Source organism: Homo sapiens, chromosome 1, assembly GCF_000001405.40.
Source record: "Homo sapiens chromosome 1, GRCh38.p14 Primary Assembly".
NCBI classification, from domain to species: domain Eukaryota; kingdom Metazoa; phylum Chordata; class Mammalia; order Primates; family Hominidae; genus Homo; species Homo sapiens.
Window position 1 is genome coordinate 87,129,547 of NC_000001.11, and position 23,848 is coordinate 87,153,394.

The following is a 23,848-nucleotide window of genomic DNA, read 5'->3' on the forward strand; positions in this document are numbered from 1 at the left end:
ATAATTTAAAAAAAAAAAGAGGTGGTGTCAGGCAAGGGCTTTAGGACGTAGAAGGTCACTTTTGGTTGTTGTCCTGTTGATCCAACTGCTTTACTAACTGGAGCTATTGCTCAAGCTGGAGGGTGAGGGAATGGGTGGGGCTGAGGCTGGGAGTTGCTCAGTAGTTGACCCCAAGTGATCTTGTTTGAGGAAAACTCCTGTGATCCCCCATCAGAATATTTTGAAAGTGGAAGAGTCTGCTGGCGGGAAGGGAGAAGAGTGGGAGGAGGAAATAAGCAACAGGCAGCTTCCTTTCTTGACAGATGGAAAATAAAGGGCCTGTGCACAGCTCGGCGAACTGCTCCGTGGACCTCCCAGCGGGGCTGCTTTCTGAGGTGATGGTCTCCTCGCTCCTTAGCCAGCCTGGTGGAGCCAGCTACTGACGTTGGAAAGGAGTTGGAGGATGGAGGTTTGTGGCCGGCAAATGAGAGGTGTCGGGGAGGGAGAAGAGAAAAGCAAGCGGGCTGAGGAAAAATGTAAGGGAGGGAGATGGTTCTTCGATGAAACCTCTGGCCTCTTTTAAACCATAAAGAGGTCTGGCTGGTTTGATTCCAGTCCATAAAATGGCTCAGTAGGATCTTAGGGATTATTTAGCTCAAACCCCTGAGAGGTGAGGAAACTGAGGCCCAGAGGTCCCACTTGCCTTTGGTCATGGGGTGAGTATGTAGCCCAGCAGGGTCCCAGCTCCTGTGAGCTGCGATTCATGGTGTTATCTTTGCTGGGGAGGCCTGAAGTTCCTTTAGCTTGTCCATGTGAAACAGAGGAAGAGCCCACAAGGAACGCATTCATCTCAGAGTTAGGTGACCTTGGCTTTGGGATCTAGTTGCTCATTACTTCCACTTTCCTTGCCAACATCTTTCCTAAGCCTTCCAGATCAGGGCACAGTACCACTCCCTTGCTGCCAGACAGGTGGCCTGTCGTGTGGGCAGGAAGGGGAGTTCAAGGCAAGCAAGGCCCACTGTGAACCCCCTGCTAGAAGTGCTCTCCCCTTCCTTCTTTTGGAGGTGGCAGTTACTAGGCAGCATGACCCAGAGGAGGAGATAAGCTGCCTCTGATAGGAAGGTTTTATCTTTGAGGTTATTGCAAATATGCCTGACTTCTTCATCTGGTTCTGTCCGGATCTGAACTGGTAGCCAGATAAACTGTTGGCGGTCCCATTTCATGTATTTATCAAGTCTAAACAATTGTCAGGAGGCAATTATCCCCCAGGAAGCCAATGGCAGATAAATAGTGTCCCGCAGTCTGGTTCCAGCCATGGAATCTGTAAGTTGTCCCTCCTTGCCCTGTGCAGATTTTCTCCTCTGTCCCTGCTGCCCTAAATTTTAAAGGAGGTTTGATGTTCCAACACGTTTGCTTTGGTGTTCTTTGCCCACAGCCCCAAATAAAATCTAATGGTTTTTATAGGTGGATAAATCCTTTTTAAAGGCTCTTTTGTTATCACCATGGGGTTTGTGAGCACTAAAACTGGATTTTAAGGGATCAGTGAAACCTTAGAATCACGGTTTGCTGTATCTGGAAGGAACCATGACCACTTGGTACAGACCCTTCAAGCGGTAGATGAAGAGGCCAAAGCACGAAGGGATTTGATGGCTTGTGAAGGCAACGTGCTCTTCAGAGTCGGGCAGACGTGCAGCTGAAGCTTGGTCTGGCCACTGATCTGCTGCCCGGCCTTGGGTAAACTCCTGGAGCCCCTATTTCCTTATTGATTACATGGAGATACCAATCCAGACTGCACAGTATTGTGAGAGGTAGTAAAACTGTTTCCCTCTGGTCGAGGTCAAACAGACAACTGGGGGGCAGAGCTAATGCCAGAACCTTAGTATCCTGGCTCCCAGGTCTTTATCCTTTCCATTATTCTGCAGGAGGTCTTCAGGCTACTGTTAAATAAAAAGTAAAGCTTCTACTTCGTTCCACCCAAAATTCTAGTTCAGTGTTTCCCAGACAGAGCACCTCCAGCGGGTCTGAGGCTCAGTTCTATGTGGAGACTCATGTTTATACGATGACAGCATCTATATTTTTTCTGGATGAACTAATAATCGACTGGCCATTGTATTTAGGAAAAACCAGACATCACCTCATGGACGTCTCATTGAAGGGGACCGTCAGTTATTCCATTCATTCTGGCAAATTTTCTTTTTAGCTTTGGTTGCAGCAGGAAGAGAGAGACGTCTGGGGGGCTTTTTGCCTGTTGGAAGGGCATCACTCGTCCACAGCTGGAGCCCCTGGGATGACCCATCCCAAGGTCCCAGCCTAAGTCTGAGGTTCCAGGGCTGGTCGCAGGCCGTCCTTGCAGCCCTCGCCAGAGCGTTGTCTGCACCTCCGACACTAGGTGGCGCCATAGGAACATCCTCGCGGCCCGAGGCGCGGTCGCAGCCGGGGAGCACTCGCCACGGTGCTGTGGAATTCTCTGGTTTTTCACGCAAGGTCAGGCGTCCTGCTGGCGCCCTCTCGCCACCCTGCCCTCCCGTCAGAAGCCCGGCTCCTCGCCGGGGAAGGCCGGATGCTGGCCCGCCGGGACCTGGGACTTGTGCCACATGGAGTGTCGGGAGTCTCCATTGCCGCGAGTTCTACACCACAGGGCCAGGCTGTTTGCTCCCCATCGGTCGCTGCCCCCAGCACCCTGTTGTTATTAAGGACTCATTTGCTTGGAGCGGCATCATTACAAGGGTGTGGGGTACTACATATACTCCCTATTTTTCTATTTTCGAAAGGCTGCAGGCGCGATGCACAGTGCGCTTGCACGGTGGGGCCTAGTGCTAGCCCGAGGAGCGGACGGGGGCCGGGCAGGGGCGGTGGGCGCCGGCCTCGTCTCGGTGCTGCTCGGTCAGGCTGTCCCGGCGCGGCGGCCTCGGGAGGCCCTGCCGTCCTTCACCCCTGGAGGCGGGCTGGGGGGCGGGTGCGGGGCGCTTCCCCTCCTCAGGGCCCTCAAACCGCAAGGGGGTTTCCGCTTCCCAGTCGATGGTCGTCCTCTCCCATCCCCGGCTGCATCTCCATTTACCCGTCGCCCATTTCCTTTGCCCATCCAGGCTCCTTGGCTCCACTGGGGTCTCCGTTCCCTTCTCCCGGTCCCCCCTCCAGGTCGCGGCTCCTTTGTCCAGGACTACGCAGGGGCTTGACCCCAGGGCGCTGGTTTAGGCCGGATCTGGGGTCCCTTGTCACTCCCAGGCTTCTTCCACTTCCGAATTCTGGAGAACCGGGAATCAAGCCCTGCGCGTTCCTCTTCTTCCTCCTTCGTGCCGAAAGCACGCTTCATGTCTGCCAGGGCATCAGTTCTGAAAGTGAGCGGAGAACAAGGAGTTTCTTTTTCTTCCCCAGAAGTTGCCTTTTGTAAGGACTATGTCTGCGCCAGGGCTTGATACATGTTGCTACTCCTGGGAGTGTGAGACTGGGAAGCTGATGGAAATGTCAGCATTAGCTTTAATGGTGAGGCCAAAGGGAGGATGGACCCAGCATCAAGCCTGGGTAGAGGAGAACGGGAGAGGGAGGACCAGAACCAGGGGCCGCCTGTTCACTGCCTTGAGGTGTCTGAATCCTGCCTTTGCTGTTTGTGAGCTCTAGCACTATGGGTAAGTTGGTTAACTTTTTGAGCCTCAGTTTCCTGTTCTGTCAAGTGGGAATACAACTTCCTAGCTCACAGAGTTGTGGTGAGGATTATGAACTATTATGCATCTACAGTGTCCTCCTGGCAAGTGAAAAGGCTCAGTAAAGGGTAACTGTTATCATGGTCCAGTCTAAACTTCCGTGCTAGCCCTTCACCAAATTGATCTTACAGAAATCAAAAGGTTCCTGCTTTTCCCACCTTGTTTGGAATTAGAAAAAACTTCCCCTGCACTATTAGTGTTTTATAGGCCTCTTCTCTCCAAGACAGAAAGGAGGAGAGGGTAACGGGGCTTATTTTCTTCTCCCAGGACTCTTGAAGAAGGATTCAGGATGTGGCTGTGCCGCTGGGGATAAACGGTGTAACACTGGGGCAGGTCAGTTTCCTTGTTGGTACGATGGGACTCTTACACAGGCCCCTTCCTTTCCAGCACCAGATACTGCTACACCATCTCATCGGCATGGACCTATATGTGGCAGCAAGTCCATCTCATCGCTTTTGGTGAAAGTCAGTCCAGTTTGTAAAGATTCTCATTGTGAGTATGGCTAAACCATCCCTTTGACTAAAAACCAAACCAGATACTCCTTTACCTATCAATACCTCCTGCTGCTAAAAAGCAGCAGCTAAAAAGCAGCAGGAGGTATTGATAAGGGAAGTCCTATCTAAATTCCTGGTTTAGAGAATGACTATCCTCATTTTATGAGTTAAACATTACCCCCAATTAACACCTCTGAAAAACCCTCCCAACATGTTTATCTCATTAATATCACGGGGTTGGCAGGTCACTGTAGACGAGGAACTGGGACACCAAAAGGAGAAACTCTGGCCACGCTTGCACCCTGTTCCCAATCCTGGTCCAGTGTCACCCACAGATGGTAAGGAGCTCTAGAGACCTCACCAGCCCCTGGGATTGGTCACCTCACTCTTCTATGGACAGAGATTCCTGCTGGGATCCTTTGAGGGCAAGCAGACCCTTCTTCCAGCTCGGACTGTGAACTCCACTGCAGCCGTAAGGACTGTCTGTGACAGTGAGCCCGAGATGACTGGGCTCTGTGCTCCCTCCCGGCCCTCCAATCCTTGGCCTGCCACAGAGAACTGAGCTCTTTTATTAGCACCATGAATGTGACTGATACAGCTAGCCATTCCCTTGTGCGAATGACTCAGTTTATTAATGCTCTGCTAAAGATGGCTTCTTTGCTTGCCAGCAGCCTTAAACAGTATTTCATTAAAACTGGCTTAATTATTTTGAGAAGACGGCCCAATTAAAAGCTATACACTCCCTCTATGTGAGTGTTTATACATAGAGCTGTATATATAATACATATTTGTAAGTGTGTATATATATATGTGTGTATGTATGTGTCTATAAATATATAGGCTTAGCAATTTCATTACATGGGATAAATTGTTGGAAAAAATACCCAGGAGCTGGTCCCCTTTCTGTTGCTAGATTCAGAGTAGAGGCCACCCCTCCACTCTGGGAGAGGCTGGTGTTGGTGATCTCTCAATGACTCTGCAATGGAAGTCCCAACTGCACAGAGCCCTGCCCCAGTTTCAGGAGCCAGCAGCCTCGGAGAGGCGGATCCTGACCTCTGCTCTGCTCTTGGGATAGCCTTTCCCTTCCCAGCAGGGTTGAGATACTTGGGCCGGGAAATGTTGTGGCAAAGTGTTTGCCAAAGCTCAGGAGAGACACAGACTTGGGGCTTTTGTTTCTTGAGCTGGCTGTCTAGCTTTCCTAATGAGCAAATATGTTCTCTTTAAGGAAACAAACAAACAAAGCAAAAACACCAATTCATCTGGATTTTATTCATTTGTTTTAAATACAAACAAACAAAAGGAGAGTGGTTATTTCTGCACCAACTATTTCAAATGCAAGTTACTCCATCGCTCGGGGTGGTTGGATGGTGCTTGTCACCATAGGACCCACAGGGCTAGTTCCAACTGTTATTCGGTAAGGCTTTTTTCTTTCCAAAATTCCCAGTGTTCCTTTAAGGCCCATTTAGCTGCGGGTTTTGTTTATTCTCCCGGCAATCAGCATTTAAAATAAGACAAACAAGCATTTTTTCCTGGGCTGTGAATCCCCCCGGCCAGCCTCCACCTGCACACCTGAAGCCAGCATGTCCAATCAAATTTCTCTGTAACCCATATCCCCTTTAGAGACTTGCCCCCGTCGTATACCAGGCTGGAAATAGAGAACTTAAGCAGGGCAAATGTAATTTTAAGAATTGCTAATGATGCTAGAAATCTGCAATGCAATTAGCGTCATTGGATTTGGCGCTCCTCCGAAGGCACAAAACTCCTTGTCATAGCGCAGTGGCAGCAGCGGCAAGTGCCTCCGCATGTGCCGGGCTGTCCGGGTATGCTGGCAGCCGCTTTGCACTGAGATGTGAGCAGTTGGTTAGGCTTCCTCTCTTTCTTTCTCACAGATACTGACTTCTTTGTCTCTTTTCTGGGTTGCAGAGGGATGGGTATTTTCCATTGATTATTACTTTAGCATTTGACCCTCCAGTGGAGTCACCCTGTTTTTTTTTTAGAAAACTGAGACTCTCACTTTGTGAATTCACTGTGCTCTCTGGGATTTCAGTGCTGTAGTTCAACCACCAATCCCCCTGTCCTGAACTCCAGTACTTCTGATGCTATTAATTGGTTCCTCAACAATTGTGGCCTTTTCCATCATTGCCCACCATAGTATATACTTTTTCTTTCTCTCTCTTTTTTCTAATTTCCTTGTCTTCTTCACTCTCCATGGAGCCAGAGGTAGTATGAAGAGTTAAAAATAGGAATATAAAGAAAGCCAGAGGGACAGAGGGAGTGAGAAAGAAAAATTTTAAAAAGGGAGGAAATGAATTATTGGATTAAAAATAAACTTTTACTTTTTTGCAGAAAAATTATTTTTGCTCTCTGGGAAAATAACATGGGCCAGGCATAAAAAGCATGTCAGCTGGCTAAAAGATTGCAAAATCCAGAAGATGATCTCGATGTGTCTGTTCAATTTAGCAAGGGTATCTACTAGGGGATCCTCTTTTAAATATGGAGGCCCAAATCAGAAGCTTGTAGAGGGGAGCTATTCTTCCAAGATTCCAGATGTGTCTGTGAGACAACACGTTATGGGGCAAATTGATTTCACCCTTGGGAAACCAGGGAGATTTTCAAAGTTATGTCTGCAAAGCCAGCTAATGCAATTCCCCATTAGTGCATTAAAGTGCGCCCTTATTAATTCAAACATAAAGGCAACAAAATAAGCTTTTAAATTTAAAATATAATACATATATAATGAGCATGTGTGAAAGCCTTATTCAAATGAAAATACAGGAGTGTTTGAACTACTGAGGTATCTTTTGTATTGAATTATGAGCATATGTAATAGATTTAATTATTAATTTCCCCATTGTTCTATGCACACAGACAGGGTTCAAGGCACAGTCATTCTCTGGCTTTCATAGATCTAATTTGTATAATTATTGCCTGAATAAAAAATTGCTCCAATTCCTAGCTCTCTTTCTTTCTTTCCCCCTTCTAAATACTATTTCAATGCTGCATTCCAAAAGGGGAACACCTGCCACTTCTTCAAAGTCAGCTGATCATTTGGAATGATGGACGGCGCTGCTGCCGATGACGTCCCCTTTCAAGTCTCTTTGTCTAAGTGAATTATCGTGCATCCTTTTAATTTTATTGAACAAATTACATTTGTCAAGGTCTATCTTTGTAAATAAATGATAACTAGAGACACATGGATGCGTATTTCTGCTGTTCAAGGGCTCTTGTTCCATTTCTGGAAGCCAGATGAACATGGAACAAAGGAGAAACTTTCCTCTAAAAGCAATTATCTTTCTGCATTCCCATCAGTATAATTATATTGCAGGGAATTTTAAGAAGCTGTAGAAGTAGAATTGAATGCTTAAAACTGTGTTTGCTGAATTGCTATGCAAAAGTTGAACAGGCTGTATTGCATCACACAAAATAGTCTAACTCTCTCCTGGCCACATTTCTGTAAGTTTAGAATGTGCCTGAAGGGTGGAGATGGTGTGGGGGAGGCGGTGGGGATGGGGATGAGGTAGATCGCATTTAGGGTTTCCTGTGTTTCTTGAATGGAATATTTAATGACATTTCTGAAACCTGAGGGCTGTTAGCAAGGTGACTGGGAATGTGTCTAATAAAGCCACCCATTCCAGTCTAGTTGGAAAGCTTCTGATTTGCAGATTGCTCTCTGTCTGAAACAGTCCTGCTAGTTTACTAACTAATCCATGAATGGTGGTGGGATGAAGAGGGGACCGTTCATGAAATGATGGCAGCAGCAATTACACTGCTCCCAAAACAAGCCAGCAGCTGGCTTACAGAGATACTGAATGTGGTTTGTGTGGCTACTGTGTCAATACTGCGCATCAACCAGGATCATTCCTTTCTCATTGGCTCCCCCACAATTTAGTGAAGTAAACTGTTGCTGTGAGGTAAATTGTATTGTCTGATCACTGACAGCTCAATAACCTCATTCCTGCCCCTTCCCAATTTTTAACAAACTCCCTGATGAACATTCAGGAGGAAAATAAAGCACCAGTGAAAAGTGGCAACAGAGAATGCCATAATCATGGGTTAGTTTAGTATGGCTGGTAGGTTTTGAGTTACTGGACAATTGATGGGATAATATTATAGTCTAGAGATCTTGAAGAAAGGAAACCTACAAGAAGGATGACCTTGGATCCTCTCAGAGAAGTGAAGGGTGAATCAGGAGCCTGGCGATAACTCCCAGTTCACAGAGACTGCATGGAACAGCGGGATGAGCATGGGCTTGGGTTGGGATGGAGACAACCCCTGGCCCCTGCATTCAGTGTCTGCAGTGGTAAGATGAGGGATCTGGACCAGATGATTGAATAGCCTATCTTTAGATTCCGGGTCTAAGGTCATGAAACCCATTGTATGGGGCATTGATCACCATAGGAAAGTGGGGGAGGCAAGGTCCATGTACTAGGATTGCATTGTTAAAGCTTTATGAATGTGTTGAAGGGGAAAAATGATTTTTTCTCATAAGAAAAATGAGTCCAGTGCTTTTGATCTCTAATTTCTGTGGCTGAGGTTTGGTGATAAGCAAGAATGGAAACCCATGGGATCATTGCAGGTGACATGATCAGAAAGTGGTAGGCCCATAAAGTAGGTTTAAAATGGTGCCTTGGCCATCTTGGTGATTGAAAAGCCTCCTCTCTCAGGAGAAAGTGGCCAGTGGGACTGATTTGTTTGATTCAGATCATCTCACTAAGCAGGCAATGAAGGGAATTGCAGAGAACTAGCATGTCCAGCTTAGAGTTGAATTCAGTGCTCCCTGAAAGTGTCAGACCCTCTGCTGGAGCTAGGAATAGGTCATATGGTCCCTGTCATCAGGATCATGTTGCATACATATGACCGTGAAGCCAGGTAGGAACATCTGTGATTCTAGGACACAGTGATCGGGGCCATGACACAGTTCTCCTGGGAGGGAGCCTGGTGGGGGCTGAGGTAGTCAGGGAAGGCCATGGAAGGAAGTGAGGCTTGAGTAGACACAGTCAGATAAAGGTAGGGGTAGACAATGGTAACAGAGGGAAGAATACGTGACGAGCAGTGACGTAAAGCAGCAAGACATGTTCAAAAAGCTGCTAATGCTTCAAGATGGCCAAGGCGGAGGGTGAGTGTGGGTGAGCAGAAGGGGATGGGGCTGAGGAAATCAGCAAGTGCCAGACATGGGGGCCTAGCCAGGAGGCTCGAACTTTCTGCTCTGAGTTAGAGGAAAGGGGAAAGCACTGAAGGAGTGTCACAGGTAAGCAGTGTGTCAGGGTCAGAATTTAGAAGGGTCATGTTTACAGCTAGGACTGGATCCTGGGGTCCCTGTGCAAAATGAAAATGTGGGGCCATTTATTCAAAAACCAGGAAAAAAGGTGCTGTTAAAGGCATTAGAATACAGAGCGTTTCCCTTCATTCTGCAGCCTCTCAATCTGTCGTGGCATTTTTGTATCCTCTTTAATGTCACATCCCTCTGGTCCTCATGGCAGGACACTTGTGGGACAAGTACAGACTTTCACGGGAGCTGGAGCCCTCCCTAACACTTGGGACACATGTGGTCCACTGGCAGCTGGCTCCTCCTCTCCATAGCCATGGGACTGATGTGTCATGCTTCAGCTAGGGGTAGGAAGATGCAGCCAGGTGTCTCTCCTTCCCGGAGGCCTGGTGCTGTCACCCTTGGCAAGCAGGTAACCCTCAAGGGTATTGCAACTTCCCTGTCAAGATGTACTGGGCATCTTGGTTAAGGTTGAGCCTGAGGCTTCCTGTACCAAGTTGCCTGCTAAGTGCATGGTAGCGCTGACAGCCTGGGGTGAGGATGGCCACTGCCACACCCCTTGCAAGATACTGTGAAGCACGCTCACCAACCCTGCCCCTCTCCACCCTGCGCCCAACCCTCCACTGAAGTGGAGTGGACAGTGTCACTGGGACAGGTTGTGGGGGAGGTTGGGCAGGGCCCAAGGTGCCAGGGGCAGTGAAATGGGTAGCCGAGTACCTGTCCTGGGAGGCAGGGAGGTGGTAAGAGATGCTGCACATGAGAGCCAAGACCCTAAGCCCCCGGCCCATGTTCATGTGCCATGGACTTCACTTCCAAAATGGTAAATCATTAAGAATTTCAAGATGGCAACCAGAGAGCATGTGCCCTCAAGCATGGGCCCTTCTGAGCATGGATCCCTGTGCTTTGTGACTACAGGAATCACTCACCCTTCATGAAGCCCATTGGCAGCAAGGCAACTGTAGCAGAGCTAGGCTTAAGGCAGGGAACTCACCAGGAAGGGGCTGGAGCTATCTGGTAATGAGTGCTGAGAACCACAGTGAAGATACTGGTGGTGAGAATGGAGAGGAAGCAATGGAGGGAGATATTAGGAGGTAGAAGCTGTAGGATTAAGAGGCAAACAGGACGTAGCAGGGGTGAGTGAGGCCGTGGGATACAGGGTCACTTACAGGGTTCTCATATGGGTAACTGGTACTTTATGAAATACTTTTACATAATTTTATCACTTTTACATAAATTTTATCACTTAATCTGCAAAACATATTATTGTTACTTCCATCTTATTGGGGGGAAATAGCTGAAATAAGTGAGGTAATTCACTCAAACTCCTCTGGTCAGAAGACTTGGGATCAGCCCAAGGCATTTGATTTTGATGGCACATTCAATCTACCATGACTCCTCTGCTGCTCTGGATGAGTCTGCCTTGTTTGTTTGTTCATTCATTTATTTATTCATTGCTTCACTCAGCAAGTACTTATGAGGGGAGCACAAGGTGCTGGGCATTCGTCTAGGTGCTGAACAAGCCAGGCAAGCCTTCCGCTCTCATGGAGTGCACATTCTAGCAGGGCCCAGGTGCCAGATTTAATCAGAAGTTTCGCTCGGGCTTTAAGGGCCAGTGGAAGCAATTATTTATTTATATTTTCTGTTTCTTGTCCCAGTTTCTAATGAATTAGAGTTTGATTAGCTTCAACAGAGCGCTATGACTAGAGGGAGAATAATAAAGTGTCCTTTCATCCACCCCTATCCAAAAGCTGTGTGTAATTAGAGGAATCAAACCCTGTACTCTTCATCTCCACCTGGGTTGGCAGAGGTCAGTTTATTCTGTAGATATGTAATTATGTTGTTTTGCTCTTTCATTTAAAAAATATATTATCTCTTTCAATGAATCTTATAAATCTCAGGCTAGGAGACTGGATACCCCTGATAAAGAATAAATTTCTAGGTGTTACATTGTTGTCGTGCCAACAGCAATGGTTCTGAATGCTGATCAGATGACTCAACTGTACAGGTCAGAAAGGCATTCACTGGCAACTCAGCCCCTCCCAATGGCTTACACCATAGAAGACCATCAGTAATGCATGTGTTGAATGGTGTTAGGATGAACCAGTTTTCTTCCTTGGTGCACAGCCCCAGGGAACTAGAATGGCTGCCAGATGGCTCCGGGTGCTAGGGCATGAGCATTCATTGTGTGAAGGAAGTGTGGAGACTGAAATCCTTTTAAAGACAATGTTTCACTTGATAGGAAACAACATTACAATAAGACTAATCAAGACCACTGAGTTAGTAGTCATGGAGAACTAAAATCATTATTCTTGCAGCACAAATTCCTGGACCTGATGATACCTCTGTGGCCTGTCATGTGTCAGAGAGTCTGCAGGAATGTAACATGAAAACCTGTAATACCAGAGGTGTAGAGCACACTCCAGTCTATTCACTCTGGAATGCCTGGGGATGGCCCTTGGCTTCTGAGCTGATGGCCAAGAGAGGGTGGAAGAATAAGTGGAGGAGTTGGTCTTAGAAGGTCTGCTCTACAGTAGGCCTGGGGAGAGTGGTGGATCAAGAGGAAGATTCAAACCAAGTGCATTGAGGGATCTGAAGACCATACCCATACCAATCAGTACTCCCCTGGACCAGCGTCATCATCCTGGGCCCCATGTGGCTGCCCATCGCATACAGGAGGCCTAATTGTATGTCTGCTGTGTGTGGCATGACTCCTTCGAATGGCGTTCCTTTTCCCACCCCGTGGCATTGCTCTGCTCTCGCAGTCTCTCTCCATAGTAACAGAAGCTTCCACTGAGTTAACACCTCAACCTATTAAGCTTAAGTGCTTTTCAAAACATTTTATTATTGGCTGAGTGTTTGTGAAGCAGTTTACCTTGGACTCCGACTGGCTTCAAGAGGTTTGAGCCTGTCTTGTATTCCAGGGAAGCGTCATTGCAAACCCAGCACCCAGCTTTCCACCCTTTCTTTACCTCTCTCACCAAATGGTGTGAGGCCATTCATGGGAAGGCCACGATGAATTTTGATTTCAGTCGTTGTATCATTACTTAGCTAATTTAAAGATGGATATCGGCCCTTAAAATTAAAAATTGTATGTTACATGGAAGGACTCCACCCACCCAGGGTCAGGCAATGAGTATATGATTAGACAAATGAGGGAGTGGTGCTTTCCATGTTCCTCTGTTGAGTGAGGATCCCGGTGGACCATGTCCTGGGTCCTTTCTGGGACACTTCCTGGTGTCAAGTTCCCTAACTTCTGTGGGCTGCCAGGCACAAGTGTCAGCATTCATGTTGCAATCCTGATGCCATAGTGTGGCTACTTCAAGGAGATAGTATTCATAATATTGACCTCTTCTTAAAATTATTTAAATAGGCACCCCAGTGCTTCAGGTAAGCGCCATGAATCTTGAGCAAATTTGACTCATGAGGTAACTTCAGAGAACCATTTTAGCTGGTATGTGTGTGTAAGGTGGGGCAGGGGTAGGGTTGGGTATTAAACATCAAAAGGTCATGCTATGTAATACATGCAATATATAAAGTACTGATTCAATAGAACTATGGCAGGTGCTGTTGTAATTCTTTTTTCTGCATTATGCAGAATTTGCAATATAAAAATTAATGCATGTTATAAACTTAAGGTAGCTTCAGCAAATAGGATAAAGAACTCCATGATAACAAATCACAGTGTATATTCACCGCTGGTGAGATAAATTCCATTCATGAGGAGATTTTGATTTCAACCCCTTATAAGAGAATTGTAAGATAGTGGCAGCATCTAATCTTGAGGTAGGTAGATAGTGGTGAGATGGCTACTCATGAATAATTTTAAAATCAATCATCTGTGGCTAAATGTAGTGATTTCAAATCGCTTCACAGCTTTGGGCTGTGGAGGGGAAAAGCCATTGTGGTGAAATAGAGTAAGAAACAGGAGATGTAAAGCTTTCCTCATTTCTTGCTTCAATTCGATCCCTGTTCTTTAATTGCTCTGGGACTTAAGATTCCTTTTCCTGAAGCTACAGTGTGTTCTACATCTTCTCAGAGCTGGGTCCTGCCGCCCTCCTCACACAGCGGGTGAAGCTGCTCCCCTGCTTCCAGCTGCTGGTGGCTCAGCAACTTGGGGGAAGCCCAGTTTGCTACCTTTCTGGACATCCTAGGGGACCTGCAGTTCAGCCACAGCGAGGCCCAGGGAGGGGACAGCTGGTGTCCTGGCAGCTGGGCTTCTGCACTGCCCATGACTTTGAAGACACAGCATCAGAGAACAGAATGGTGCCTTAGGTTTCTGGAGGGTCCTTGAACTAAAATGTGATGAGAAAATCTGTGTCAGGAGAAGATGGCAAGGAGGGAAGAGTGGTCTTCTGGCCACAGCAGGACTCGGGGTGGTGCTGGGCCACAGATGTGTGCCCACCTCATTGGAGTGCAGGGCTTGTGGTGGGAGCTGGTGGGCATAGCAGCATTTACACTGTACAAAGTAGACACTCTTCTGCAAACCTTCCTCCCATAACTCCCTGCCCTCAAGTGTGGCCTAAACTGCATGAACCTAAAACATTCCAACAGTATATTGATGACAGCTAAACTGTCATAACACAACAACATGGTTATATTGAATGCTGCCTTTTAGCCATCCATGATGTCTCTGTATTGGTGACAAAATATTTTCCTACAACCACACATCTGTTTTCACTCTCAGGTCTTTGTATCATATCCTTATTCACAATTCAGGATGATGATGACGATGATGGTGATGGTGATGATAATAATAGTAGCTAACACTATGTAATATTAGGCACTACGCACATTTCATCTGTTAACTCATTTAATCTCCATAAGACCCACCTGAGGTAGGTACTTTATTATTTCTATTGAAGTAACATAAGGTCACATTTTGGTAAGTGGTAGAACCAGGTTTCAAATCCACGCACTCTGGCTTTGCTCTCTGTGCTCTTAACCACTTTGCAATGGTGCCTCTCATTTCCTCTATTCTTAAGTAAAGAGGAGAGCAACTCAGAACAATTACCTACAGTATTCAAAGGTTAGAAAATTTTCTGTTAGTTACAAAGTATCAGCAACCAATCCACATAGCCCAGGGAATTAGCTTTGCATTTTTGCATTCTTGCATGGGTGCATTCAGAAATTTATTGATTACTTACCACCTGCCAGACCACCATGCTGGGAGTAAGACCAAGGCAGACATGCTCCCTGACCTCATAGAGCTTCCACTCATTCTGGAAAGTTAACAAATTAAATAGGCATCACGGTGATGTGTGATGAGGATTATGCTAGATGAAAGTATAGAATAACAACAGCTAATATTTACTGAGCATTTTGCTATGTATTGTGTGATGGTTAATATTAGGTGTCAACTTTACTGGATTGAGGGATGCCTAGATAGCTGGTAAAGTCTTGGTTCTGGGTGTGTCTGTGAGGGTGTTGCCAGAGGAGATTGACAGTTGAGTCAGTGGACTGGGAGAGGAAGACCCACCCTCGTGGGTGGGCACCATGCAATCGGCTGCCAGCCCAGCTGGAACAAAGCAGGAGGAAGAAGGATAAGCTGGCTTGCTGAGGCTTCTGGCATTCCTCTTCCTCTTGTGCTGGATGCATCTGTCTGTTCCTCCTGCCCTTGGACATCAGACTCCAGGTTCTTCAGCCTTTGGACTCTTGGACATACACTAGTGGTTTTTCGAGGGTTCTCGGGCCTTCGACCACAGACTGACGTCTGCACTGTCGGCTTCCCCACTTTTGAGGCTTTTGGTCTCAGACTGAGCCATTACTGGCTTCTTCTTCCTCTGCTTGCAGGCAGCCTATCATGGGACTTTGCCTTGTGACCGTGTGAGCTAATTCTCCTCAATAAGCTCCCTTTCATATATACATGTATCCTATTAGTTGTGTCCCTCTGGAGAACCCTAACACATATTGCTAGGCACTATTCTCAGTGCTTTTAGTGGACTCATTCATTTAATCCTGATAGCTACCCCATGAGGTAGGTACTATTTTATTCCCATTTTACAGATGAAGAAATGGAGGCACATCAGGGTTATAGAAATGCTGAGTGACACAGCTATTTAACGGTGGAGCCAGCAGAACACATCGGGGAGGGTTAGCTTTGCCTGGGAGTTTGGGAGTCCAGTTTCAATCAATTGGTGAGCAGTACTCATGGAGACAATGAAAAATGGGAGGTCCTTCATTCAGTTGGTGCCTTTGTTCATTCAAAAGCATTTATTAGTAGGCATCTTTGATGTGCAAAGATCAAGGGAGTGGGTGGTGGTTGGTGGTAGATGGCTATAGAGTTGGGTAACATAGGGTGTTTACATTTGAGACATAATTCAGTAGGCAATACTGTATTAAGTATTTAAGGGTATAAAAATAAAGAATTGCTCCTTAGTCTCAAATTGATATATTTTAAATATATATATAAAATTATAAAATGATAAAATTATGCAAATATATTCATCACCTCACATACTTATCATTTCTTTGTGGTAAGAACATTTAAAATTCAAACTTTTAGTAATTTAGAAATATACAATACGTTCTTATTAACTATAGCCACCTTGCTGTGCAATGGAACACCAGAACTTGTTTCTCTTGTCTGACTAAAACTTTGGACTCTTTGGCCAACATCTCTCCATTACCCACTCCCTCCTCCCCAGCCTCTGGTAACCACCAGTTTACTCTCTACTTTTCGGAGTTCAGATTCCACATATAAATGAAATCATGCAGTATTTGCCTCTCTGTGCCTGGTTTATTTTACTTCTCAATTTAATATTCTCTAGATTTATCCACTTTGTCACAAATGACAGAATTTCATTCTTTTTTAAGGCTGAATAGTATTCCATTGTGTATATATACCACATTTTAAAAAATCCATTCATTCATTGATAGACACTTAGGTTAATTCCACCTTTTGGCTGTTGTGAATAGTACTGCAATTAACATGGCAGTGCAGACATCTCTCCAACATACTGATTTTAATTCCTTTGGATATACCCAGAAGTGAGATTGCTGGATCACGTGGTAGTTCCATTGTTAGTTTTGGTACATATTTAACAGAGGAGTTCAGGCAGATGAATTGGCTTGTGCTTGTAGGTGCACACAGAGCTTGATGGAGTGGAGAGTGTGGCCTTCAGATGGGAGCAGGCTCCACTTCTAGCCTGCATTGTCATACCTCTAGCTGTGTAACCTTGACCAAGCCTTGGACTTCTAGAACCTTAGAATGAAGACCCTCATTTTACAGATGAAAAAACTGAAGCTTAGAAAGTTGTCATAAGCTAGAGGAATATTTGAAAATGGACCAATTCTGATTCAAAAGTCCCTTTCAGCCCCGAGACATAGAAATCTTAACTTGTAAGTGATTGTTGAGTTTTCCGATACTCAATGTACACATTAGAGGCTTTAACAAGCTGTATATTTGGGAATTCAGTACTAAAGGAAGCCTTCCTAGAGTCAATGAGAGGAACTTCCAAGGAAGAGAGGAAAGCAGCACAGGAAACAAGAAGGAGATGCTCCCAGCATTTGGGGGTATCTTGGGTGGGAGCTTGGAAGTAACATGAAGGAGAATTGTGGGGCCACACAAAGCTAGACTTGGCTGGAATGAAGGAGGGCTGCAAGAAATGCTGTAGGGCCAGTGGTAGTATTGGGGAGGTTTGGGAAAGCAGAGGAGATAAGGACAGAAAGAATGTTTCCCTAGGTTGAAAACTTTGTCTTGTTTATCAACATACCCAAGGGACACTTGCGCAAGTAATTGACAAGAGGTTTCTGTGCTGGTTTCGGTTGCTTTGGGAAAATGGAAGGGAAGTGTTTAATTACAAGTTCAGGTGGTAGAGGATGAGGCCTTCAAAGCCTCCCACATGGGAGCAGGATAATTCTTCCTCTTCCTCCTCATCCTCCTTCTCCTTCTTCTTCTCCTTCTCCTCCTTCTTCCTCTTCCTTTTCTTCTTCCTCTTCTTCTTAGAGACAAGATCTTGCTTGGTCACCCAGGCTAGAGTGTGGTGACCCACTCATAGCTCACTGCAACACTGAACTCCTGGGCTCAAGCAATCCTTCCACCTCAGCCTCCCTAATAGCTGAGACTACAGGCACATGCCACCACACCTGGCTAATTAAAAAAAATTTTTTTTTTTGTAGAGATAGGGTCTTGCTCTGTTGCCCAGGCTAGTTTCAAACTACTGGCCTCAAGCGATCTTCCTGCCACTGCCTCCCAAAGTGCTAGAATTACAAGCATGAGCCACTGGGTCCAGCCCAGAATTTGTATAATCTACTTGCACAACCAGCCTTTCAGATTCACCTGAAGCCTTTATATCTTCAACAAGACCACTCTTTAGTTTGGCCCCATTCACCTGCTAGAGTTGGCGGGGGTGGGGTTGGGGGTGGGGGGGAGGTGGGGGAGGAAGAATGCAGACATAAAAGAGTTTCCTATTTCCTCTTAGACAGTGACTATATCATGGGCATCATCTAGTAATGGAGAGAGGAAAAAGAGGAAGAAATAGGAGAGAGAGAGAGAGAAGGTTTGAGGGGAAGGGGAAGGTACATAGCACTTGGTAGCTCCAGTTCCTTTGAGCTAGATGCTCCCCTGGCTGATGCTGCTTCGAAAGCCATGTTGATGTCGCTCAAGTCTGTATGTGATTTCTTTCCTCATTTTCTTCCTTTGCCAAAAAAACAACTATGGCTCTTATTCCAAGTATAGTCAATGAGCAGTTACCAAGAGGGTCCTAGAAAGCATGTTTCTGAAGAATGTCATCTCGGCAACGTTGTTCCATCTGCACCAGTCAGGGAGGAATGGAGGCAGAATGCCTCCAACACACACTTTAGATCTGGAGATATTCTAAGGTGTAAGGGAAGGATGGTCTCTTCTGGAGAACTTTGGTTTAATCCCTGAATACCTTCCCCCAGGAGTACAACATGGATATTTCCTCAGACTGCCAGAGCATTTTAGAGTGTTATTTGACCAGTATATAAGAGATATTTGCTGTAATAAAAGTTACACTGGGCTTGGAATCTGAAGACTTTGGTCTGCGATCTGGCCATTTTTACTTCCTAGCTACGGGTAAGTTGCCTTCTTCACAGCCTGGTAATGAAGAGCAAATGAGAAAAATGATGACAACACTTTGTAAACTGTAAAGTGGTGCAAATATTACTTGTTATTGTTACCTAGCAATACTCGGGGATTTTCCTTGTTTGGTTCCAGTTTAAGTAACCAGGGCCTGTGTTAGGCTTGGAAGCTTCAATTACAACTGAAGGGTGAAATTAGGTGATAAAGGCTTTAATATAGGTTTTGTGTTGAGGACCTAAGACAACACTAAGAGTGAACCCTGTATGAGTCCACAATCCTGAACAGTTGCTTTGGGTGGTAGCTAGCCGTTCCTTCTCACCAGGGATTGGTCATGTATTTAATGGCAGACTCTCCCTTCCCCTACCTTCCCTGCTTCCCCACGTTTTCCCCTGGGTGTCCTAAAGGCTTGGCACCCTTAACAGTGCCTTCTCCTCCCATGGGCTCAGCCACAGGTATTTCTTAGGAGTCTCACCTCCTCGGGTGACTTTTCCAGCCTGTCTTCCTGGCTCATCCCACTGCCTTGTCTGGGCTCAACGGCTGATGCTTTGCTCCATTTCAGTTCCCACTTTCCTTCTCCTCCCTTGACTTGATACTTCCTACTCCCCCTTGCTTCCCAGGGTCCCTTCCCCTCCCATGTTGATCACTTGAGAGGAGAGGTAGGTGACTGGGTTTCACAGCCCCACCTTGGGGCAGGTTGGAGGTCCTTCTGTTGGAGGATGTATTTGGAAGTGTTCTGACCAAGGGGTCTTCTCACGCTCCTCAGCATTTCCTAAAGTGCACTTTCTGATGGCGTGGGCACTCCACTTTCACTGTGGCTGCTGTTCTACTGTTGAGACACTTCCCTATTTCACCGGACAGTCTCTTTGAAGCTTCCACAGTTGCCCATTACATTTTGCTAGGAACAGGGAGTCACTTCTCTCTGGCTGGGAGGAGACCTCTGAGTCTAGTCAGGCTCCAGGGTCCCTGGATGACTGGCTTTTGCCTCAGTGGCCTTACTCTTCCTATGGCACACTCACTGTCCGCCTCTACTAACCTACACCACCTTCTTAGACTGCTGTTTGCATCTTCCCAAGACAGAGTTTTCCCTGTGACCACTTGTGCCTACGGATGAGTCTTAAGCCTCCAAGTCTTCCCAAGAAACTGACCTTAACTCAAGGATCACTTTGTTACACACCAGGCTACTTCAATCCTCTGGCCTTGTTTCCATTCTTGATCCCTTTGATCTCTGCTGAGCCTTGAGGCTTATGATCCTGTTTCAGGGCTTCAGTGATTCCCCTTGCTCCCAGCTCTGGGGACTGGTCTGCTTATCCTGTCTCCAGTCCCCATGGTTGGAGCTGCGAAGCAAGAGCTTCTGGGCAAGATGCCACTAGAAAGCCTGTCTCCCTAAGAACAACAGACCGCTTTTCTCTCTAGTTGTTCTGAAACTTACCCCTTCTCTCTCGCAGCTGTGTGAAAAGAAGCCAAATGCCCATTCTTAATGTGTGACAACTGAGGCTCACATGCAAACTGCTGTTATCTCAGCAGGAGAGCAATTTGCAATCATTTAAAATCCTTTCACTCTTCCCTTCTCCTCAGTGTATGGTTATACACACACCAGTCCATATTTATTAGTGCAGATGGTGAGAAACTCGTCATTGAAAGGGCTTAGAGCACAGAGGAAAATGGATTTTTGGCCTCACTCTGGCCTTATAAACAAGAAAGCTTAAATGATTTTAGGTTCCTGATTCTTGCCTCAAAAGAGCACAGTTTGCTTCTCTCCAAACACAAGAGGTTGTAAATTGGTAATTCATCTCAACCAAAGGCCACATGATGAGCAATTGTAGAAGTATTTTTTTTCTTGTTGTGCAAAGGAGGAACCAGACATCTGAGTATAGGTTCCAGCTGGAATTTGCCTTTCACCATTTGTAGCCTAAAGGCACTGTCTTGGCCAGCCCTGGGCTTCGTGCAGCTTCTGCCTCTTCACCTGCATCACTAACAGGGCGATCGCTATCACAAGGGTAGAAATCAGCTCAGCATTTCCATGTGACTTCTTTTTTTTTTCCCAGCTAAAAAATAAATCTGTTCTAATAAAAACATTTATACTATATTCTTTATTGTCAGCTAATCCTGCCCAAACTCATTAAATGGCAGTGTGTGGGTTATTTGCTGTCAGTGAAATTATCAAAGGCATTTTTCAGCTGGGGCACCAGGAAAACATATGCTTCAATGCCAACTAAAACAATAATGAGGAAATGTTATGATCAGTCTTGACCAGATGACCCTGCCCATTTTAGATTAGTTCTTAATTTCAGCACAAGGGTCATCCTGTGAATTCTTACAATAAGTCACTGCTCACCACTCACATGAAAAAGATGTGACTTATTAGAAAACTCACTGTACTCATTGCAGTTAATGAGATGTGGAAAGCTTTGTAATTTGATTTGCTGGGCCATATGCTGTAAAGGGATACTGCTGATTTCATTCCTCCGTATTTAATTTAAGCTGTATGCAATACCTTCTTCATATGGCTACTTATATAATAAAAATTAACTTGGGGTATAAAAAATACACCATTGTGGGGTTTATGACTTGGTGTGGTTCAGTTTCAAGTGTTTTGCATGGAAACATCTGTAAGTAATGTGTGCGGGTCTAATTTTAAATCCCGCCAAATATTTTCCATTTAACATTTGGTTTAACTGACAGGCTTGCAGAGGTGGTTTTCAGAATTGTCGGTAACAGATATGTACAGTATTCCCAAGGCCGTAGCCTTTTTTTTTTTTAAAGGAAGATAGTAATTCAAACTTGTTTTTTTTTAAATTTTTTTAATGTTTACATTTCAGTAGATACAAATAGCAGTTCAGAATATGGCTACTCCTGTCCCTTGAAGACCCAGCTGCAGTTAAATCTATTACCCCCTAAAAAGAGTTACCTTGGTTTTGACTTTTGCTTCAACATCTGCGAGCTAGGACACCTGAGGCTGACTGGGAAGGTTGACCGTGGGAACGGGACCCTTCAGGACAGGGTCCTGCCTCCACAGTGGAGAGAGACAGGGAGGGAGAGAAGAGGGTAGGACTGAGAAGGGGGGCAATGTCCAGGGAGGTCTGAGCCTCCAGAGAGGCTCCGAGAATCCACATTCGGACTATTTTCCTACCGTTTAAAAATAAGTCTCACCTAACTCTTAGGAGAGGCCCAGGCCCCCTGAACTATCCCGATCTGCTCAGAAGCTGAGCTGTAAAACCATAAAACAGAACCTCTCCTTTCTCTACTGGGTAGGATTGCCAGATAAAATAGAAGGCCCCGAGTTAAATGTGAATTTCAGATAGACCACAAATATGTTTTAGTACAAACATATCCCTTGCAATATTTGGGACATACTTATACTAAAAATGTATTTGTGGTTTATCTGAATTCAATCTTAACTGGGCATCTTGTATTTTTACTTGCTAAATCCGGCGACTCTACCGCCGGGGTCGGACGTTGTTTGCTGACTGCATTCTATTCGTGGCCGCGGAGGCCTTATTTCAGGTTGTTTGATTCCGGTGGCTGACAATATGAAACAGCTTGAACAGGCAGGCCGGTGGGCAGAAGCCATAAATAGCCACCTCGGGGGGGCCCCCCTGGTCGCTGGGAGCGCCACGCTGCTCTGTTAATAAACATGCGCTCGCTGGAGTCCTCATCCTGGGGCTCGCGGAAGCGCTGACTCAGCACCGGGGCAGGGAGGATGCGGGGACCCCCAGAAACATAATTAAACTGTTTCCATGACTGACTTGAAAATAAAATTGTGTGTGGGAAGAGAAACTTGAGGGGGAAGTTAAACAACAAATGGAGAGGTGTGGAGTGAAACCTCAGGGAAACTGTTGGTTTTGCTTCAAGGGAATTGAATTGTGAAACTTGCAGTTGTGAAATTTCACTCGGTTGATTCTTGTGAGAACCGAAGTTTGTTTTAATTGTCAATTAAAGCGAATGGTGCTTGGGTCCCTGGGATCCAGGGAACCTCAGGGCGGTGCTCGCCTCTGCCCGGCAGCGAGAGAGGGACCCGGTGCGGGCCCGATGACAGGGTCGACCGCTGGGGGTCAGGATAAGCTTGCAGAGTGGCCCCGCCGCCGTCCTGAACTTTCTCGGGAGGGGAAGGCGGCTGTGTACAGAACAGCACGCCCTGGGAAGCAAAGGCCTGTCGGAGAAGTTGATGAAAGATGCACCTTAGGTGTCCCCGAGCAGGGCCGCCGGCCTCCCCAGAGGTTTCCTTGGCAGCCCTTATTTGTAAGGCAAATCCAGGCCCGCGCACACGTTGCTCGAATGTCAGGTACTAAATTGCCTTTATGAGAGTCGAGCAGGCTTGCCGATGACAACACTCTGATAACAAAAGAAGTGTGGCCTCGTTGAAGATTTTATGTAAAAGGAAATGATTCATTTGAATTCAGAAGGAGCCTTAAAACAGGGCAGAGACAGCCAAACCCTAGATTTTCTGCCTTATGACTTGTTTCTTAAACTTGTTAAAGAAAAAAGGGGAGAAAACTTAAACAAGAAAAGCTACCCCAAATCGCCAGCCAAGGTTTAGATTTTCGTGGGTTGCTATTTTCTTCAGATCAAGGTTGCCTTCTTGTTAACCCGAGACTGCAGCCGCAGAAAATTAGATTCCCCCCACTCAGGGATTAACCACATAGAACAGTTAGGGAATGTGGAGGTCTGGAGAGACTTGAGATCAACGAGTTCGAAACGTTTGAAAGAAAAAAATCTTCAGTGGTTTGAGAGCTTCACTAAGATACTTTAAAAAAAAATCAAAATTGCTCTTATTTAAGAGCTTTGGAGATCCAAATATAAGTCCCTTTTCTTTTGCCAAGAAGGCCCTTATTCATTTTGTGTGTCTTTAATGCTCAAAAGAGATGCTGGGATTCCTAGTCAATTCCTAAACAGGAGTCTGACAACCAACTATATGATTTTTTTTGCAAAGACCTTTTTTTTTCCTTAAAGCTTCAAATTTCTGTTCCTTTTGATGATGATATGTTGAAGAAGGAATCAGTGCCTTTCTCAGTAAGTGAATGACAGAAAGCCCTTACATCTTTTGAGTGGGCCAGCGTTTGGGTGGCAGGGCTGCTTGGATGGGGAGCGATGTGACAGGGCTCTTGGACAAACTGCTCCTTGGCTTAGGGATGGTTTATTTTGAACATTCATTCATTCACTTATTCAACCAGTGTTTATTAAACATTCACGGCCTCTGTGCAGGGCTAGGTGTGAGGGCTACAGTGTCTAATAACACAGAGTCGTGGTCTTACCCTCCAGGAGTCTGCAGTCTGCTGGGGAAGCCAACAACATGAGAAGGTTATTCTGCTCTACTGGAAAAGGCACTGATCTTGTCCTCTCTTTTTCTTCCAGAAGCAAGAAAAAA

The 23,848-nt window shown here is 45.9% G+C and overlaps 1 long non-coding RNA gene across 5 annotated transcripts in view, besides 4 other annotated features; it reads left to right on the forward strand.

Annotated features, from left to right (window-relative positions):
* The first annotated feature begins 218 nt into the window (after positions 1-218).
* The window catches only part of LINC01140 (long intergenic non-protein coding RNA 1140), a 39,440-nt gene continuing 15,810 nt past the window's right edge, over positions 219-23,848 (forward strand). Inside the window, exons 1-4 of one of the 5 annotated variants that reach the window (NR_026985.1) lie at positions 2,380-2,713; positions 3,118-3,317; positions 4,068-4,172; positions 4,419-7,123. This is a non-coding gene — a long non-coding RNA (long intergenic non-protein coding RNA 1140). Of the gene's footprint in view, positions 449-2,379; positions 2,714-3,117; positions 3,318-4,067; positions 4,173-4,418; positions 7,124-23,848 lie in introns of those variants that run through there. The other 4 variants (NR_026988.1, NR_026986.1, NR_026987.1 and 1 more) reach the window with 4 other exon arrangements.
* Positions 17,332-17,831: an enhancer, noted in NCBI's record as "H3K27ac hESC enhancer chr1:87612561-87613060 (GRCh37/hg19 assembly coordinates)". NCBI's record gives its function as "activates a minimal SCP1, AML or CMV promoter by ChIP-STARR-seq in naive H9 embryonic stem cells {active_cell/tissue: H9 hESC(naive)}" and the evidence as "EXISTENCE:reporter gene assay evidence [ECO:0000049][PMID:30033119]".
* Positions 19,167-19,831: an enhancer, noted in NCBI's record as "OCT4-NANOG-H3K4me1 hESC enhancer chr1:87614396-87615060 (GRCh37/hg19 assembly coordinates)". NCBI's record gives its function as "activates a minimal SCP1, AML or CMV promoter by ChIP-STARR-seq in naive H9 embryonic stem cells {active_cell/tissue: H9 hESC(naive)}" and the evidence as "EXISTENCE:reporter gene assay evidence [ECO:0000049][PMID:30033119]".
* Positions 21,629-22,227: an enhancer, noted in NCBI's record as "H3K4me1 hESC enhancer chr1:87616858-87617456 (GRCh37/hg19 assembly coordinates)". NCBI's record gives its function as "activates a minimal SCP1, AML or CMV promoter by ChIP-STARR-seq in naive H9 embryonic stem cells {active_cell/tissue: H9 hESC(naive)}" and the evidence as "EXISTENCE:reporter gene assay evidence [ECO:0000049][PMID:30033119]".
* Positions 22,228-22,826: an enhancer, noted in NCBI's record as "H3K4me1 hESC enhancer chr1:87617457-87618055 (GRCh37/hg19 assembly coordinates)". NCBI's record gives its function as "activates a minimal SCP1, AML or CMV promoter by ChIP-STARR-seq in naive H9 embryonic stem cells {active_cell/tissue: H9 hESC(naive)}" and the evidence as "EXISTENCE:reporter gene assay evidence [ECO:0000049][PMID:30033119]".